General features: G+C 36.2%; 1 protein-coding gene across 31 annotated transcripts in view, besides 1 other annotated feature; it reads left to right on the plus strand.

The window, feature by feature from the left end:
• TENM3 (teneurin transmembrane protein 3) overlaps positions 1–19,181 on the plus strand; it is a 1,355,412-nt gene that overhangs the window by 1,125,272 nt on the left and 210,959 nt on the right. The gene's annotated exons all lie outside the window — the stretch shown is intronic.
• Positions 12,327–12,883: an enhancer, noted in NCBI's record as "OCT4-NANOG hESC enhancer chr4:183506364-183506920 (GRCh37/hg19 assembly coordinates)". NCBI's record gives its function as "activates a minimal SCP1, AML or CMV promoter by ChIP-STARR-seq in naive H9 embryonic stem cells {active_cell/tissue: H9 hESC(naive)}" and the evidence as "EXISTENCE:reporter gene assay evidence [ECO:0000049][PMID:30033119]".

A 19,181-nucleotide genomic window follows, 5' to 3' on the forward strand; every position in this document is an offset into this window, starting at 1 on the left:
ACAGACTCAGGCTGGCAGTGGCAGTTGGGGAGTAGGAGAGGAAATAAAGAGAGCTTCATATAGTTCATCTAGGTTCTAGGGCTTGGCTTTGCTGCTTTAGCTTAGATCAAATAGTAATTTTTAAAACTCTTGTTTATTGATCATCTACCATCAATACGGATTGTGCCAGATATTATTTCAATGATTTGCATTCTCCTTAAACCTCCAGAGGTAGTATTCATAGCTGTTAATCCACATTTTCTACATTAGAAAAGTGAGACTCGGGGATTTAAAATTGAGTCAGCCAGACTCCAGAGGCGTCACTTAGGTTTTGTATCTCAGCATTGTCAGGATTTGAGTAGGACTTACCGAATAATAACGCTTTCTGGAATAGAGCCAAAGTTTGTGTGTATATACGCTTATGAACCAAATATATATTTTTATATTGACAACATAAATGTATCAAATCAATTAAAAATATTAATTTGGAATAAATCTCCATAGGGTGTTTTTATAAGTTTTCAAGTATATTCCTCAGAACAAACATTAAAGTAAGCTTTTTGACACAGGAATCAAATCCCTCACATCATATTTTTCAGAGAGCATCACACTATTATAGTGATGAAATTTTGTGTGACACCATCAGAAACAACTGTTCATAAAAGAAGCAGGGGTATTATTACAAGGAAATGTTGAAAATTCAGTATATTTGTATTTTAGCCTAGTTTCCCAGATTGAACGAATGCCACAAATATTTATTACTTTAGAGCAACATGTCGGTTAAAATTTCTGAACAGTTTCTGAAGGATTTGAAGGTGGGTACTAGAGAGACAGAGAAAAGGGAATACTGAAGCTTTATATCAGAATTGAATTGTGCGATTTCATATTAAAAAGAAAGGAGAACTATAGTTCTCTTCCAGTTATTCCCAAATGTTATGTTTTATTTATTAATAAGGAAAAATATTGAGATTCATATTTCACACATCACTGAAATGACTGTGCTTAAGCAGAAATTTTTTTCACACTTGTCATTATTTACTACTTTTTAGAGCAGAAAATGTATATTTTGTTGTTCAGGAATAAAAATAGGTTACAATAAAATATGAAAAACTAAAATTAATTCTTCTTAAAGGCATTTAGCTAAAAGTATTTTGTATTTCATTTCAAACACAGGAAAGTACTTTAATTCAAAAAAGACTTAGTTTTTAAATATACTGCCTTCTCCATTCATGACTCAAAATGCTTTCTCATAATTTATCCCAACTCTCATAATTTTTTATTACAACAAACTTGGAAATTTCGTTTGGTTATGTTATTTGTATTCTTTCATATGCCTCTTTTCAATCTTTTAAAATGACTTGTCATGTCAAATTGAATACCGTAGCGTGTGGATTTCTACTCTTATCAGAACTGCAATTTACCATGGCTTTATTATTTATTATTTATTTATTCACTAATTTATTCTCCTCTTTATTCCAGAAAGGATACTCATAGGAAGGGCTTACTTATGGATTGCTGTCATTTGGTATGCATTACTTCATGCATTTATTTATTGCCATCTCTACTAAATTGTATTTATGAAACTTTTCCTTTATTAGTTTCTTGCTTTAGAAATGAAGCAAATGAATTCTCCTGAGCCACTATATACTTATTTAAAATGTAAGAGCATTTCATTGAGCCATTTATAGGTTTTATGTATTATGTATTTTAACTAAAACACATTAAAATGTATTATTTTGGCCTTTCTGACAGTCATTTCAAGTGACAGAGCTTTCATTTTAAATGGCAAATCACCTTCTAATACACCTAAAACTGGTTATATTTTTGATCCTTTTTCTCTTCTCCTACCCTACTATTGTCTCAAACTCTCCCTCCCTGCAAGATTTGGTAGTAAGAACGTAAGCTTCTCAATGAGCTATTTCAAAAAAATTTTTTTACAATGCAATTGCGGATGGTTTGTTCTGCTTGCAGAATGGTATTTTATTCTACTCCCAGACATATAGCCATATGTTTCCTGTCACCTCGGTGACACAGATAAGCCTTACATCTGGCTGTCTTTACCTAGGTTATCTCCCCAACTTTTGCTAAACTTGAAGCTAATATCAACTTTATAAATTTTTGGCTTTATAACCGATTTTTGCCTTCTAAACAAAGGATTAAGAAAAGCCCCTTATTACTGAGGAAGCACTGAAGATTTTGTTGAGAACTGGTTGGCATAAACATGTGGTAAAATCGTACAGAAGAAATACACACACACACACCAGGAATACAAGTAAAACTGGAGAAATCTGAATAGAATCAATGGATTTTATCAATGTGATTATCCTGGTATTTTACAAGATGTTACCATTGGGAGAAACTAGGTAAAAGTATACACAATCTCTTTGGATTACTTCTTGAAACTTCATGCGAGTTTACAATTGTCTCAATGAGATTTTTCATTGAGAAAAGAAAAACGGGTTGGTAAACTTTTTCTTAAAGGGCCAGATAGTAAATATTTTAGGCTTTTCAAGAGCCATGAGGTGGAAACTTCTCAAATCCTTTGTTTTATAGCACAAAAGCAGTCAGTACATGAACGAGTGGCGGCTGTGTTCCCATGAAACTGTGTTACGGAAGTAGATGGCAGCAGACGATAGTTTGCAGACTTCTGGTTTAAAAAGAGACACAGGCTTTTAATATTCCATCTGCTGCTCCCTTGAAGGAAAAAATGTGGTAACAAAAGCTAATTATATATTTATGGTGTTGTGATTTGCAGCTTATTTTCTGTCCTCATGATTTTCTTAACTTGTATATTTATACATAAAGAATAACATTTTTGTTTATTTTAAATATTCTAAAAAGCACCACTTTGGTATCATGCTTCTCTATTTGGGGAAATCAAAACATTTAAAGTTACGTGTCTTAGAAAAGTAAGAAATTCTTTTTAGATATAATACTGTATTAAAGGAACAAATAACACTGAATTTCTGTCCTTAAGGTTTTCATCCCTAAACATGAATAATAATAAGTCAGAGAGTAAAGTTCTAGGTTGAAATAGCAATTTCTGCACATTTCCTCATTTTTATTCATCCGGTTACAGAGTTGAACATCCTCTGGAAGAATTTAGGTTGTATTCAGTTATTCTCATTTTCAGGGTGGGATTAAGCATGACCTTATGCAGAATTCCACTTTAAACAAGAATGCCCTCAAGCTTACTTTAGACAATGTTAAGAAAATCCACTCGATGAGATTTTGATATTTATTCGGTAGATTTTTTTAACTTTTTCTTTCTCTTCATCCTGTCACATCATGAGCAGTTTGAAGACATCAGGTTCAGTTCCCTAGCAAAACCAAGTTTCTTCCTCCTAGTATGTTTCTTTTTCCTTCTGCTTTGAGTGGCTTCTGTGGAAAAACATCTTATATGTGGGATAAAAACGAAAACAATTTGTGTGAGAGACACACATGCGGTAGGTCTGTACTCAATGCTGTGGACTGTTAAAAACAAAGAAAGGTTTTGCTATTTAAAAGGAGAGGTAATGCAAATACTGCAATGCACTCATAAGAAAAAAATAAATTTTCCAGTAACTATAATTTAACAGCAATATAAGCCAGTCCTGTGTAGAGTTCTAAAATGATGAGAGTGGTTAGAGCCAAATAGGGTTCATATGATGAGATCTTGTGATGTGAAGTAATTTTAAAAGATGAAAGATACTTCTTAAATACTTTGGAAATTATATGGTTGACCCTCTTTTTTACCCAATGCTTCATTTAGTGTGTTGCTAAAGCTAATCAATTTATTCTGCCTCTTAATTATCTCTTGAATCTGGCCCTGCATGTTTATCTGCATTGCCAGGGCTTTCGTTTATACACTCAATACAATACTATAAATCTCTACTAACTCTCATCACCCAGCACCTACCAAAGGCAACACACACCCACATACACACAGCCTCCACACTGCTGTTAGGGTAGTCGTCATAAAATGTGTCTCTGACCTTATCATGTATTTGCTTAAAACCATTCCACAGCTCTCTTTGGCTAATAGGATAATATGCAAATGCCGAAGCGGAACAAGGCAAGGCCCATGAAAATCTTTATTCCACCTGTCTTCCAGGCTTCCTTTCCTGCCTCTTGCGAGTTCTCCTACCCTGTCCCAGCCCCACCCACACCCTCTGTGTTCTAGCCAGTCTGAACCACGGCAGCTTCGTGCTCCCTCTCACTGTCATGCCTTAGCCTCTTTCGGTCGTCCTGAAGGCTTCTCTGTTTGGAATATGCATTCTTCACAGCAACTAAAGCATTAGCTTATCGGAAAAACCTTCTGAGAAGCTTTCGGAACCCAGCATATTTCATCTCTTAGATTATTTACCAGATAATACTTCATCTCTCTGTATATCTGTATGCTCAAAAGCGAGGAGGCAATAAATATAGTGTAGTAGGGAGGAAAGCTTTAAAAAAGCAGGAAAGTATCTGTTTGACTCATACTGGAATTCCTAGGACTTTGAAAGTACCTGAAGTACAGTAGGTATTCTATGTAGGTGTGTTGTATAAATTAATGAGGGAAACAGTGAATGAATAAATGAAGGCAAGAATTGTGTCTTACTCCTTGGAATCAGATTGGATATCAGCCCACGAGGCATTTCTAAAGGTATTAAGAGTTTAAATGAGGACTCTGCCATCTGCAGTATTGCTATATTGAAGAAATGAATGTCTAAAGGAAATTCCTAATCATCAAGTAAGAAACCGTTACACAGGAGACTGCAGTGGTTATTTCAGAAATAGCAGTGGAGTCATTCACAGTTAAATGCACGCGCTCTATTAACAACCTAGGAATCCAGGGAATCTGGAAGAAAAATAAATTTGGGGAATCTATTTTTATTAGCGTGAATATCTATGGTTTTCATGCACATAGGTAATAGTACTTATTTATCCAGTATTAACTATCTTTATGATTCCTCAAGTACTCAGAAACTTAGGAGATGGTACACATAAATATCCTAACATGTAAACATTTCTAAACCATTATCACCTCTGAAATCTAATTTATTGCCTTCCCTCCTGAGGAGGATTCCCATTTTTATTTTTAAGTTTTTGCTTAAATGTCATATTTTCAGTAAATGCTATTCTGATGACCCAATTTAATTTTTTTTTTTTTGAGTTGGAGTCTTGCTGTGTTGCCCAGGCTGGAGTGCAATGGCGCAATCTCCACTCACTGCAAGCTCCACCTCCCAGGTTCAAGCAATTCTCCTGCATCAGCCTCCCAAGTAGCTGGGATTGCAGGCACCCACCACCACGCCCAGCTAATTTTTGTATTTTTAGTAGAGACGGGGTTTCACCATATTGGCCAGGCTGGTCTCAAACTTCTGACCTCGTGATCCGCGCACTTAGGCCTCCCAAAGTGCTGGGATTACAGGCGTGAGCCACCACCCCAGCCCCAATTTAAAATTTTGATTCCTTCTCCAGCAGTTCTAATCGCCTACCCTGCCTTGTATTCTGTCAATATCACCTTCCCTTTCATTTACTAATTTATTATGTTTCCTGCATATTGTTCTCCCCTTCTTCCCCTCCACTTGCTACAATGTAAGCTCTACAAGGGCAGAGGTTTTTATGTTTGTTTTTAGCTGTGATAGGTGCTTGATAGGTGCTGTGATAGGTGCTTGAGTGAATATCTGTGGAATGAATGAATCAACCAATACTACATGAGTCTCTCAGCTCACATTCTTAAGAAAATAGTCATCACTTCACAGCCTGATTGCTGTCACATGGCCCTTAAGAAAATAGTCATCACTTCACAGCCTGATTGCTGTCACATGGCCCTTGTACTCTGGAAGAGCACTCAGGTTAATCTCCCTCTGACTTCTTTTCTCATAATAAATTTCTTCCCAGGAACCTCTGTGTGGCCTACCAAATCAGGTACAGATTCTTCCACTTGGAGGTGAAAGTGGTTGGTTGGCCCCACTTTATCTATCCAGAACTCTCTCTTAAGTTGCTTTCCAAACCAGTGTTGTTTGGAAATCTCCAGTCTTCCTGCTTTGACTTTGCTAACTGTGCTTCTCTTCAAGGTTTAGCTAAATGTTAGTCTACACTTTAAGCCTTCGAAACCAACCCCGGCACAAAGCAAATGTTTCCTTGTTCACCTTCTTCATGTAGTTTATTATTTTGCACCTGCCTGAGATTTGTGTTCTCGCTGTCTCAGGAATGGAAGTCCCATCTCCTCAATTAGGGAATAAGCCCCTTTAGGCCAATACACCTGCCTTCTTCTGTATCTCCACGGTACTTAACATTATGGATAAATACAGTTAGGACTTGTGGCTTCGCAGCGGTGAACCATTGTTGGTTCTAGACAAAAAACAAAGTTTTGAAAATGCCATGTTGGTTTTAAACAGAATATATTGGAGTAGAGAAAGTCAGTAGGCAGAGAGAGCAGCATTCTATTTCCTCAGAGCACATATCTAGTCAGCAGAGAGTGATTTATTTAATAAATGAGAGGTAGGGAAGGGTCTAGGTAGGATAATGCAATGGGAAAACAGAGGAAAGAACATAACCAAATAACATTTTGAATAAGCTAACAAGAAAATTGTTGATTTGGATCAAAGAATCAAAGAGCAAGAGTCAAAATGTCACCAAACTTTTGAGTAGAAAATGGGGATTTCAGTGGAAAGGTGAAATAGTTGAGAAAGAGGAGGAGATCTTGGATTGGGCAGAGAGTATAAAACGAGGATGATACATTTAGTTTGGGACAGATGGACAGTGCACATAGGGAAGAGAGAAATATGTTTTCCTTTAAGATTTTTTAGTAGAAGAGTAATGACATTACATTGGCTGTAATGGATTTTTGAAATTATTTCCACAAATTTGAAAACTTCTCTTTTTTTCCGCCAATATGGATTAATTTTCAGGGATCATATTTTGCAGTGAACCTTTAAAATCTCATCAGCTTATTTTAAAGCAAAGTTGTTACAGGACTCTGGTATAAGGAAAGTTACATTAATTGAAACATTCATACTAGTATAATTGTGCTATAATTCTCATTTGAAGTTTAAATGAGGTTTAGTGCTGGCTACAGAGGGAGGGACACACTGGAAACTAATTTATCTGTGAGAAGGCAGAGGAGCAGAGTATGACATTTTGGTCCTTTTGAGAAAATTTGCAGGATGTTGAGGTCCGTTGCTGCTGCTGCTGCTGTTTCTGTTGTTTTAAATAGTATATAACTAAGGGTGAGGACCATTAGAGGACAGAAATCACATCTTAATCAGCTTTGATTTTTTTATGTTTAAAAAAGAGATTGAGATTCACTTTGTAGTCTAGGGAGTTTAATTAAAGTAAGTGGAGACAAAAGTACTCTTTTGAGAGCTGTCATTTCTCTTAGTGTGACGCTATTAATAATGTAGTGTAATGCTATTTTGGAAGTTTGGTTCTTTCCTTTTCTTTTGTCTTCCTCTGACTCTTTTCTGTATTCTAAATGAAAGGGGAATAATGCACTTAGAGGGGGGCACTCTCCTAAATTCACTGTCTCATGTACGACATTATCTCCGACTTCGGCTCTCATGTTTTGAAAAAATACCTCTTCATCGCTCTATTTTTATTTTTCTTCTTCTTTTATTGTGAATCTCTTTTACCAAAAACATTTGTAGGGTTCTTCACAAAGATTTTTTTTTTCAATCAGGATGAAAACTAGATCATGATGTGACCATTTCACTGTGAGTGTAACTTCCCTTTTTGACAGCTCCATTAGATCTGCCAGGTTATAAATCTTCATATTTCTGACTTGCCTTGAAATCAGAAAGTGTTTTCATTATGCTAGTCTCTGTGAGCAACAAGCATGAAGGAAGGCATGGCAGGTATCATAGCCCCTTTGATGAACTTACCTGTTTCAACTCAGTGCCAGGGCAGAACATTTACTGCTAACCCTGATGGGTCAACTTTGATTGCAAATTATGTGTGGTACATTTTGAATTTAAAGAATGTTTCTGAGATTATTCTACGATCACTTGTCATTTTTATGTGTGCAGTAATGTGTTGTGTATAACTTGGATTTCAACAATATCCATTGTTTGAAAGTTAGAAAATATTCTAAGAATACTAATTATCTTGCTCAAATAATCATTTAAGTACAACTGTCACTTGATTATGGTGAATATTTTTAAGTAAAATTATATATTTAAGGTGTGCTACCTCTAATTTTATTGTCATACAAAAAGCAGATTATTGAACATGTTAATGTAAATTGTACTTTTAATTTTTTCCAGTACTCTAGAACATGTGTAAGGTTAAAAGAATTTAAATTACCCAGGTTTTTCTTTTTACATAATAAATAAGAAGAAATCACAAAGGAAGCAGATATTATATTGTTTTTAATATAACATGAAATTGTTTGACTTTATTTTGATGACCTCACAAAAGTATAAACATGGCAGTGGTGTGTATGATCAAAGTAAGAAATTAAAGAGTTACCGGTTCTTTATAAACCAGAAGTCCATTGACTTTTAATAATGCTGTCTCAAATATTTGATAGTAAATTGTGGAAATAATCAAAGCTGAGCCTATGGGACTGTACTTTGTAGTACTGTTTAATTTAATAACTCTAATAATCCCTTAAGAATATTAGGAAAAATAGGCCGGGTGCAGTGACTCACGCCTGTAATCCCAGCACTTTGGGAGGCCGAGGAGGGCGGATCACCTGAGGTCAGGAGTTCAAGACCATCCTGGCCAACATGGTGAAAACCCATCCCTACAAAAACACAATAATTAGGCAGGCATGATGGTGAGTGCCTATAATCCCAGCTATTCAGGAGGCTGAGGCGGGAGAATCTCTTGAACCCAGGAGGCGGAGGTTGCAGTGAGCCAAGATTGCGCCATTACACTCCAGCCTGGGCGACAGAGCGAGACTCCCTCTCAAAAAGAAAAATAAAAAAGAAAAAAGAATATTAGGAAAAATATCTTAATGCAAAATATATTAATTAGTAATCTGCCAACACTGAGATGTACTATAAGGCCAAGAAGAAAAGGAATGATATCTAGAGTCTTGTCATTTTTTAAGTCATTGCTTTTAGAGATTTTTTTAACCTCACATATATTTTTGTTTCTTAGCATAAGAGGGAGGAAAATCAAAAGCTCAAATAGAGAATTTAAAAATGAGACAAAAGACCGCCCACATACTAAAAAGTGTTAATTATAAAACTGGAAACTAACATTCAAATTATTTTTTCATCTCTGTTCCCCTATTTAATATGCAGTGTAGTTTCCCTGTAACGGAAGAATGCTTCTGCTATCACGGCTGGACTGGGGTCTCCACACTGGCCTTTGCTGGATAGCACTCTGACCTCCAGCTCAAAGTAAAGCAAGCATTCTTCCATTTAAAATTGAATTTCTACGGTACTGCCTTAATACGAATACTTCCTCTTCATTTCCTTCTTGACAACATGCCTGGAACAAAAATGACAAAAATAATTATTCCTGTATAAATTAGTATGGAGAGCTTTGGGGTCATACTCTGTGACCATTGCCAGATTTCTTGATTTCTCTGTACATTTTTTCCCACTTGTGAAACAGGAATACGTACCTACAGCTTAAGGTAGCTATGAGATTAAACAGGATAGTGCATGTTAAGCCTATTGCGTAATCAGCTTAATAAGCTTTCATGAGTATAAATTTCTGTTGTGTATTCCACCGGCCTATGTGTGTAGAATCCATATAGTTACGTTGAACCTAGATTTTTAGTAAGTCTTTTTTGAAGTTACTAAGTAATTAAATTACTTATAACCAACAAAACAAAAAAAAACATATAAAATAGAGGAGAACTATATAAGTCCTTTTTTTAAAAAAGTAGCAAACAGTATTTTTTAGTGTCAGGGATTAAAGGAATTGTTTTAGACTCGATATGGACGTGTTAGAATGCTTTAAAAATCGATTCTAGCTAATGGAGAGAATGTTTTTAAAATGAACTATTGCCATTCCTTCAGTGAACCACATACAACAAGAAAAAATTCACATAAACATTGAAGGAAAGGCAAGCTCTTCCTTACAGAAGTAATGAGAATCGCAGCGATTTGCCTTGGGGAATTAGAATGTGGAGACTCTTTTCCCTGTGCAGTATCCCCTAATGTCTAGGAGCAGATAAGTAGCCTCTAATTTTAAATGTGCAGTTATCCAAACAAGATGAATGTGCAGGGCAAAGCTGGATAAGAATGTCGATCTTAATGTTAATATTTTTATTCTCCTTCGTAATCGACATATAGTTGGCAAAAGCCAAATGTCTGTGAGATCCCTAAAGACCACAGCTAACTCAGGAGAGCTGTAGCCAGCTTTATCTTACATCAGCTGTGGAGATCTGGCCCGAGGGAGACACATCCCAGAATAAGCCCCTTGCCATTGTCCTTTACAATGTTTTAAATCAGTTATTTTATCTTGTCTAGATTTATATTTTGTAAAATGCAAACTGATAAAGCATGACAGCATTCAAGACATAGAGTTAGCAACTGAAGCTTAAACCTCTGTGTGTGTGTGTGTGTGTGTGTGTGTGTGTGTGTGTGTGTGTGTATTTTAGGTAAAATATTATATAGAGAGATTTAGGGAATTCTTTTAAAAACTGGAAAGAAAGACATTAGAAATCATAATCTACTCCCCTAATATTACAGATGAAAGGAACCAAGACTAGAAGAGTAAAATATGTTAGTGATAAAGCCAGTACCTAAATATGTTAGTTTGTGTTCAAAGTAAAAATATCAAATATAAGAATCGTCTTCTTTTCATTTATATCTCCCTAATTTTTATATAAGTAAGATTCTATTTTTAATTCTAGATCTTTGATATATGAAAATGACTTGTATTTGAAGTGTTTAATTTTTGAAGTTTTTAAAATTAATGTCAGAACACTAGATTCCTCTTAAAAGTAAATTAGTAATTATATTTTAAAAATAAAATATACATTTTGGCAATACAAACCCAGTTATCATTTAATTGTTAGCATGTGTTTTCTACAGATATATTTTCCTTACTAGGCAGATAATGTACATGCTTGCTAATGAAAGCTTTGTGAGCTATGTGTCTTTGGCACTTATTTTGCATAAATTATAATACTGTGTTTTACTAAAATATGGGTTAAAGCAAATATATTCAAGACAGTGTGCAAATGTGAATGCAACAGATTCCAAATAGATGATTTTTTATTGATAAATAGTAATATAAGTTTTACTGCAGTTTTAAGAATCATCAAGATTTTCAACAGAAGGGCTTATTTGTTTTAAACCCTAAGCCGCCTTTCTGAAACCTGAAAAAGATTTGTGAAAACAGCCTGCAATAAAAATCACACACACTTCATAAAACAGTACTTGATAGATATCACTTGCACCATTAAGAGCTAAACGACAAAGGATGTAATTTCAGTTCTGGCATGCAATATTAATCGAAAGCCTTTAAAACATCTTGCTGATGGGAACTATGACAACATGACATTGAAGAATTATGAGCTAAAGACATCTATCTTAATCAGATTTTTGAAGTAAATGCCATAAAACATAAAGTTGTTTTCTTCATCTTTACATTTTTACATGTTTTTGGTGGGAGCATGATTTTCTAGTGTGTTGCTTTAAATGCAGAGACTGCAAAATCAGTATTTAAAAGTATGAGTTCAGTACACAGAGTTGAAGCAAATTTTAGTCAATACACTCTGCATACACAGGGAATTATTTCTGTAATAATGTACATTTTTCCATCTTTTATGCCAGCGATTTGTCTTAAGCAAATACTTTAAATAAATGATATTAATAGATATTTTGGAAACATAATTAGGTGTTTCTTTGCCTTTTTTTCTTTTTTTGAGACGGAGTATTATTCTGTCGCCCAGGCTGGAGTGCAGTGGTGCCATCTCGGCTCACTGCAACCTCCACTTCCCTGGTTCAAGTGACTCTCCTGCCTCAGCCTCCCAAGCACCTGGGATTACAGGCGCCTGCCACCATGCCTGGCTAATTTTTTTGTATTTTTAGTAGAGACAGGGTTTCTTCATGCTGTTCAGGCCGGTCTCGATCTCCTGACCTCAGGCAATCCACCCACCTCGGCCTCCCAAAGTGCAGGGATTACAGGCGTGAGCCACCGTGCCCAGCTGTATATTTGCCTTTATAAATTTAGAAATGAAAACAGAATGCTTGTAAAGACCTCCCCATAGAAAGAAATTATCTTATGGATATACTAACATGTAAACATCTTTTTTTCCTAAAAGAAATACGGCAAAAACATTTATTACTTTGTTTGAATAATTAAGAAAAGCCTGGAAATTAACTCCTTCCACTAAAATAACACTTCACAGTTTATAAAAATACTTTAATATACATTATCTCCTTTAATTCTCACAACATTTCCTTTTAAGATTGATTATTACCCCATTTTACAGGTGAGGAATTGGAGTATTTACAATAGGAAATTGATGATATAGTTACTAAGTTTGGGACAGGGAGCTTAAACTGTCCCATTTGGGACAGGAAACCAGATGTTATGGGCTAAATGTTTGTGTCCCCCAAAATTCAAATGTTGACGCTGTAATCCCCTATGTGACTATTGGAGCTAGGGCCTCTAAGGAAGTAATTAAGGTTAAACGAGGTCATCAGGGTGTAGCCCTGATCCTGCCGCATTAGCATCCTTATAAGAAGAGACACCAGAGGGCTTTGCTCTCCTGCATTGCTCCCCTGCTGTCTGCCTCGCCTCAGCAAGAAAACAGCCATCTGCAAGCCAGGAAGAGAACTGTCACCAGAAACCAACCGACCCTGCCAGACCTTGATCTGTGACTTCTGGTCTCTAGAACTGTGAGAAAATCATGTCTATTATTTAAGCCACCCAGTCTATGGCATTTTGTTACGGAAGCTTGAGCAGACCAGTACGTCACATCTCTATTCTCTTCATGATATATCCAGTGCTTATTCATCTCTTCTATGGACAATTTTAACAAACTGGCACCAAACTATGTGTAGACTCATGAAATGAAAGCTCATAAGATCCATGAAAGACTATCTTAGTTACTGCTTCTTTTTGAACCTTTATGTTGAGAGGAAGGTTCCTAGTGGCAGTGAGCATCTTGAAGAAAGATGCAGGCTTCCAATCTCAATATATCATGTTTACTACTATTTTAAAAGGCACAACCGGCTGGGCACAGTGGCTCACGCCTGTAATCCCAGTGCTTTGGGAGGCCAAGGTGGGAGGATCACTTGAGACCACAAATGTGGGACCATGTGGGGCAATATAGCAAGACCCCCACCTCTACAAAGCATTTTAACAAATTAGCTGAGGATGGTGCTGCATGCCTGTAGTACCCGCTACTCAGGATGGTGAGGTGGGAGGATTCCTTGAGCCCAAGAGTTCGAGGTTGCAGTGAGCTATGATCACAGTACTGTACTCCAGCCTGGGCAACACAGCAAGACCCTCTCTCTTAGAGGCACAAAAAAGCCTTAGAAAATACAGATTATTAATTTCCCAAACAATTATAGGACCTTACATTTATAGTACTTGCCATTCACGGGGCATTGTCATATACGTGATCTTACTTCGATGTTGGCCCTCATGTCTCCCATATTCAGTATTCTTTTCAGTGTACCATCCTGCCTTTCATAGGTGCTCAGTCAAAGCAGCATAAAAGCATATATTGGGAAGAGGCTTTTAGTGTTGTATACACACAAAAAACATACCCCCAAATTGTTAATGACAGAGAAGGGAATTCAGCAAATACACGTCTATGGTAGCTTCATCTATGATTCTATTTTCCTTTTAATCAAGAATGATCATTACATGGTTTCCACTTAACAGATCACTCTCATTGCACGTGCCAAGAATAGAAAGGATACGCTGGGTTCCATTGAAGTTCATTGCATCTACATATTTCATGTTCATGATAATACATATCTCTGCCTAGATGTCATACTATGACTGGAAGGACACTTAAATGAATATTTGATTTGACTTTGATGTAAAACATTAAAAGACAGTAGGGACTCAATAAACTACAGGTAAGAAATAACATATCAAATAATATGCTAGAAAAAAATAACTGCAAAATTAATATATTTTTGAGAAGCAAGATCAGTAGCGTCATTGGGAACTTTATCTGTGTGCTCTTCAATTATTTGTTTTTCCTATAGTTGCTGAAATATTTAAGAAAGAAGAATCAGAAAAAAAGCTCAAAGCAGACTGAATCTTTTTGCTAAAAATAATTTTTAAAATGTATTATAATTGTCTTCATAACTTTTATAAAACAGATCAGTTTTCTTTTAAAATTTTTTTTTAAGAGACACAGTCTCACTCTGTTGCCCAGGCTGAAGCACAGTGGCATGATCATGGCTCACCGTAGCCTCAACCTCCTAGGCTCAAGTGATCCTCCCATCTCAGCCTCCCAAGTATTAATAGTTGGAACTACAGGCACATACCACCATGGCCCCATTAATTTTCACATTTTTTTGTAGATGGCCAGGTGCAGTGGCTGACACCTGTAATCCCAGCACTTTGGGAGGCTGAGGCAGGCGGATCACCTGAGGTCAGGAGTTCAAGACCAACATGGTGAAACCCCATCTCTACTAAAAATACAAAAATTGGCTGGGCTAAAAATACAAAAATTTTTGTACTAAAAATACAAAAATAGTTCCAGCTACTGGGGAGGCTGAGGCAAGAGAATTGCTTGAACCCGGGAGACAGAGGTCGCAGTGAGCCAAGATCGCACCACTGCACTTCAGCCTGGCAACAGAGTGAGACTTCGCCTCAAAAAAATGTTCTTTGTAGAGATGGATTTTGTCATGTTGCCCAGGCTGGTCTTGAAATCGTGGTCTCAAGTGATCTGCCCACCTCGGCCTGCCAAAGTTCTGGGATTACTGATACGGGCCACTACACCTGGCCTGGTTTTCTTTTAAGCTTGAAAGATGCATCCTAGCCTTTTACATAGTTATTTTTACAATTTGTTTAAAAATTTTTTACATTAAAATCTGAAATAAATTTAAGTTGGATATAAAGTGATTTTCATTATATGTACCTTAAGATGTTAATAGTTATAATACAAGATAATATGGATGAGTTTATTTTTAAAATAAAGGTATTATTTTTAATGTCTTTAATATAAGATAGTATGGTAGGGTATTTTATGACTTGAGTTAATACAGTGAAGTTTTCATAATACTTGAAGTAAAATTTTTTGTACTATCAATCCCTTAAATGTTTTATATGTATAACTTAAGATGGTATGATATGGTTTTTAATTACTTTAAATTTCAAATACCCATAACATAAGCTAATATATTTTAAGATTTTATAATGTATTACCTAAAATAAAGGGAATTTTAAAATTGAAAAACTTCAGACTTCATTGCATGACTCCAATCCTGCTCTCCCCTCAGAAGTTAATTGATTTATATAGTTAGGTTTAGTTAGAGTAAGTGCTCAGTCCTGTGTCTCCTGTTTCCTTTTGTAGTACTCTTCTATACCAGACATTTTATTTGTGATATGTTATCTGAAAAGCATAGCAAATTCTGCATTGTTTGAACTATGTGATTTGCTTTCCTTACTCTTTATAAGCCACACTTTATAAGTCACAATAATGTAGCTTTATTTGCCTTCCACCCTGTCCTTATCTATATTACAAATGTGTTTTATTTATATCATATCATATATACTCCATTTAAAGTCAATAAAATTTAATTTCACTAAAACGAAATGCTCATAATAAGGTAATAAGGGGAGAGAAAAGCGTTGATTGATTTATGTCAGTTCTTTATTGTCAAGATTGGGACAGCTTCTTCCTTTTTTGCTTACTCTCTCAGGTAAAATATTTTAAAATGGGTAGAAGAATATCCTGAAACATACACTGAGACATTTTAAAGGTATTTTTATCCAGTTTTTTATGCATGTATAAAAGATATGTTTATGTATGTTTCTGTTAGAAATGATTATGCAAAACTAAGAATTTCATAGGAAAAATGTGTCTGAGGCATTATGGTTGACAAGATAAACTACTTTAACTATCAAAAGATAGCCATGTACACTTGTTTTCACCCACTGAAATAGTTCAGAGTGCTTGACATTTAGATTAACTGCACACTTTGGAGCAGCAACCATTGAAGCCAGAACAATATCTTTGAAGAGAAGTTACTGCCACTCAAGATAAGTTGCTTTTTAAATAGAAGATAACCAGAAATTCTGCTATCCAGTAACAAGAAGAGAATAGCAGAGACCATTCATACTAAATGAGAAAGACATGAATAAATATATATTCTGTTTAATTTCACAATCATAAGCATGGTATTAGGAGCTTTGGAGAAAGCTGTTTTAGGAGCTCTAAAGAAAGCTCTATTCTTGCCTTCTAGAACTCCTACTGGATGTATATTGAGCTTTTCTATTTTTTTTTCTTTGAAGTACTCGTATATATGTAAGCACTCTTTATCTTTCTGGTACTATCTGAATGATTTTCTCAGATCTGTTTTCCAGTTTAATGGTACTCTCTATAATTGTGTCTACTATACCATTTAAACAATCCAATGAGATTTTAATTTCAATGACTACATTTTTCCTATGTACAGACATTCTACTTTTGTCAAAATCGCCTCTTATTTTTTCATAGTGTCTAATTCTTAGGTTTTTAATTTTTTTTTTTTTTTTTTTGGTCCTTAATCATTCTGAACATGCTTACAATTTTATCTGACAGATACACTTACCCCAAGTTTGGGGAAGACAAATTGCTGCTTTTTGTTTTGTCTGTAGACTGTAGCTGAAGGTAGATTGTTTCCTCTTAAATTTTGTAGTTTGTGAACTCACTGAAAGCAAGGTTCGGTCTTAGAAATCCTTTGTGACTTGGTTTGAGAGTATATTCTTTTAAAAACGGTTTGCGGCCGGGCGCAGTGGCTCACGCCTGTAATCCCAGCACTTTGGGAGGCCGAGGTGGGCAGATCACTTGAGGTCAGGAATTTGAGACCAGCCTGGCCAACATGGTGAAACCCCATCTCTACTAAAAATACAAAAAATTAGCTGGGCTTGGTGGTGTGCGCCTGTAATCACAGCTACTTGGGAGGCTGAGGCAGGAGAATCGCTTGTACCCGGGAGGCAGAAGGAGGTTTCAGTGAGCCGAGATCGCACCGCTGCACGCCAGCCTGGGCAACCAAGCAAGACTCTGTCTCAAACAAAAACAAAAACAAAAAACGTTTGATTTGCTTCTGCCGGGTGCCTCAGGCAGAAGCATTGCTGACCCAAGACCACTTTTAATATTAATTTCTTGGCTTGGGGTTCCAGAACCATAATGATAGTTTAAGTTTCAATCTAATATTCCAATCCCAGGGAGGCCCAGGCTAGTGGGTAAAATTTTCCTATCAGGAAAAAACAAGTTGTTTAAGACAACATAGGAGATTTCTTATTGTTCCCTTTGCAGTGAGAAAATTTTTAAAGTTTCCTCTTTGAATGAGGGCGTGACACTTCAAGGGTCCAGGCGTTATCTAGGAGTCTCAGTAACAGTTGAGACCTACCTAGTCTTCTCCTTGTTCATTAAAAAGGTTACAGAGGGCTGGGCATGTTGATTCACGCCTGTAACCCCAGCACTTTTGGAGGCTGAGGTGGGAGGAACACTTGAGCCCGGGAGTTCTAGATCAGCCTGGGCAACATAGTGAAAACCTGTGTCTACAAACAATACAAAAATTATCCAGGTTTGGTGGCACATGCCCAGCAATAGAGCGAGACCCTGTCTCAAAAAAAAAAAAAAAAAAAAAAAGAAAAAGAAAAAGGTGGGCCAAGTGCAATGGCTCACGCCTATAATCCCAACACTTTGGGGGGCTGAGGCAGGTGGATCACGAGATGAAGAGATCAAGACCATCCTGGCCAACATGGTGAAACCCCATCTCTAAAAATACAAAACTTAGCTGGGCGTGGTGGTGCACACTTGTATTCCCAACTACTCGGGGGGCAGGAGAATCACTTGAACCTCAGAGGCGGAGGTTGCAGTCAGCTGAGATTGCACCACTGCACTCCAGCCTGGAGACAGAGCGAGACTCCGTCTCAAAAGAAAAAAAAAAACAAAAAACCAGAAAAAAGAAAAAGATTACAGAAACTGGCAGACCTCCTCAGGAAAGCTATGCCAGCTTACCTGCACTTTACGTTTTTTCTCTTCCCTCTGCTTTTGGCTTATTCTTTCTTTCCAATTCAGTCAATTAACCCAAAGTGTAAGTTCCACAGGCAGGCTGAGATTGTTGGCTTTTTGTTCATGGATATAACTTCAGTGCCTAGAACAGAGCCTGGCATAAAGTAAACACTCAAGAGATGCTAAATGAATTCATCCAAAAGGTAGTATATTTAACCCAACAATTCTAGGTGTTTTATATAGCAAGGAAGTTGGCAGTTAGGTAATCTAGGTTGCCGCATTGTCTGAAATAGAAAGTACAGTAGAATCTAAAAAAAGAGAGAGAAAGAGAGAGAGAACGTGAAGATTTAGATTCAGACTTTGATTATTTCTTCTAATCCTCAAAGCATGACCCTAAAGATACTAAACCAAATTCTCACTAACCCAGTAAGTACAGTGAATCACTTCATCTGTGTTCATCTGAGTAATACCTTCTAGGCAGTTTAAGTCTTTCTTTTGTATCCTTTTATTTATCACCAGGGCATTTCATACTCAGTGTCTTTTTATAAATAGTTTTACAATCAATTGATGATGAAGGTCTTAAGAACAATAGTGTTTACTTATATTGCATCATAACAATGTTCAAAACACATTTTGAAATTTCATTTGATTTACAGGCAACTATCTGACAGATATTTACGGTGGTGAAAATTTTTACACAGTACTGTATTTTAACCAAGGGCTTACAGAGGTATTTAAATGGAAAACTCACTTTGAAACACTGGGCTTGTGTGAGAATTCTAGAAAAAATAATGAACTACAGGAACTGGTTTATGTGAAAGTGATTTTCTGAGTAAAATGAGGTCTTTCTTTTCCAATTTTTATTATGCCATTTTAGGTGGTTATATTATTAATAGAATATTTGAGGGGCTGGATTGGAAAACGAAAGGAAAAGAAAACCCCTGAATATCTGTTTTTGTTTTCCGATGAGCTTCACAGACTTTGTGATATGAGTATAAGCACCTATTTCCTTAACTCAAATTTTCTCCATTTATAAGAAAAATTATTGCCACCTAATTTTTTTCCTTCAGAGGGAAATAATGACTACTAAATGTCTGCAATGTGTGTGAGATTTTCTGGACAAAAGAGGCATTTTAAT

The sequence above is a fragment of the Homo sapiens genome, chromosome 4, assembly GCF_000001405.40.
Source record: "Homo sapiens chromosome 4, GRCh38.p14 Primary Assembly".
Lineage (NCBI taxonomy): Eukaryota > Metazoa > Chordata > Mammalia > Primates > Hominidae > Homo > Homo sapiens.